Source organism: Homo sapiens, chromosome 7, assembly GCF_000001405.40.
Source record: "Homo sapiens chromosome 7, GRCh38.p14 Primary Assembly".
In the NCBI taxonomy this organism is placed as follows: domain Eukaryota; kingdom Metazoa; phylum Chordata; class Mammalia; order Primates; family Hominidae; genus Homo; species Homo sapiens.
Window position 1 is genome coordinate 81,294,009 of NC_000007.14, and position 1,767 is coordinate 81,295,775.

The 1,767-nt window shown below is 53.5% G+C and overlaps 1 annotated feature.

The window, feature by feature from the left end:
* Positions 701-1,202: an enhancer, noted in NCBI's record as "H3K4me1 hESC enhancer chr7:80924025-80924526 (GRCh37/hg19 assembly coordinates)". NCBI's record gives its function as "activates a minimal SCP1, AML or CMV promoter by ChIP-STARR-seq in naive H9 embryonic stem cells {active_cell/tissue: H9 hESC(naive)}" and the evidence as "EXISTENCE:reporter gene assay evidence [ECO:0000049][PMID:30033119]".

Genomic DNA, 1,767 nt, shown 5'->3' on the forward strand with positions numbered 1-1,767 from the left:
CAGGCATGGAGTGGTGAGGGGTATGTGAATGAGCAAGCACAGGGTCCAGCCACTGGGTACAGTCAGGCACGCTGACTGCTGCAGTAAGATGGGCAGCTCCAGGCACTGGCACAGGCACAGGCTCTGTGCAAGCCTGTGGCTGGATCAGATGCACCACAAACAGCTTCCACTGTGGGCACCTGCATCTGGACAAGGGGAACATGGTGGCACCTGGAAGCTTGGAGATGAGAGAAACTACAGAGCCCTAAAGTGGGTGTCATAGCCACGGCTCTGGGAGCCCCTAAGTTTGGGCTTCCTAAAGGGCTTCAGCTCTTCTGTACTCCTTGTTGCCTGTAACGTGGCAGGTTGAGAGGTGTGTTTCAGCCCTGTTTGTCTTACAGCAATTTCAGTCTTGCCTTTCAGAAGGTCCTGAGTTCTTGTCCTGTGCCCAGAATGCATGAGGTATGTGGACAACTGGAGGGTGAGCAAAGTGGAGAGGAGCTTTACCGAGCAACAGAACAGCTCTCAGGAAACCCAAAGTGGGTAGCTTCTTCCACAGGCATGTCATCCTGATGAGTGTCCAGCTCTCAACAGAGAGGAGACCTGGAGTGGGTAGCTCCTCTCTGCAGGCAGGCAGTCCTGATGAGTGCAGCCCTAAGCAGAGAGAAGACCCAAAGAAGTTAATGCCTTTCCACAGGCAGGTCGTCCCAATGAGTCGAGGAGACCCACAGCTGGTAGTCCCAAGATCTCTGTGAGCCTGGCTAAGTCCGGGGTGTTTATGGGCTCAGAAACGATGGAGTGCATGCTGAACCATCCAGGCGCAGCCATGGGTGGGCCCAGAAAAAGCACCTAAGTTCTCACTCCGGGCTGCAGACTCCACCAGGAACTGGCAGCCCGGCCCCCAGGCTTCAAGCTGTTCCTGGATTGAAGGAGGGTTTTCAGCAGAGACCTGCCCCTTTCTGTCCAGGTACCTTTCTACCTCCTGCTGTCATTAACATGTCATCCTTGGTGCCCTGGCTGTCCATGCCATGGGGTGTCTAGAGGCCTGCGCTGAACTGCCCTCGGTAACCCCTTGACTCTCCCCTGTGCTCGTCGGTGCCCAAAGTCGGGAGGGGGCTGAGGCGACAGGGGGCTGGTGTGTCAGCGCTGCCATGAGTATGCACACATCTAGCAGAGGTGTGACAACACCCAGGCTCAGCCATAACTTTGCTGAGTGGGCACTGGGATTGGTGAGAGGCCAGGGTGTGGGAGCAGGCAGTTCTGAGTCTGCGGGGGCAGGGGAGACTTCTTGGACGCGGAGACCACAGTGATGCCTGGGTCTGGAGCTACTGCTGGGTTGCTGCAGCTGTGCAGAGGAGTGTGTGGTTCCTACCCCACTGACTCAGTAGGGAGCAGTCCCACCTGTTCCTGGTCTCCACCAGCTTTGTGGAGCACACAGCCCTGGCCATGCCTCCCCCGCTGCAGCCAGCATCTTGGCAGAGGCCACTCCAGATGGGCTGCCTCTGCCGTCAATATGTGAGTTACCTTAAATATGCTTCTGCTGGAATGTAACTGTAATTTTTCTTTTCAATTTCTTCAGCTCCAAGGAATATAAACCTATTTTTAAAATGTTAACCCTGAGCACTCTAGAGTTCTAAAAAATTTAATCCTGACAGGGAAATGATTTCCCTTCCCCAGATTTCCATAAAGATAAAAAAAAGTGCTGAATAGTTAAGAAAAAGCAGAGGTTGTATGCATATTTACAAGGTGGTGTGAAGATGCATTGGGATATTAAACCATATTTGAGGA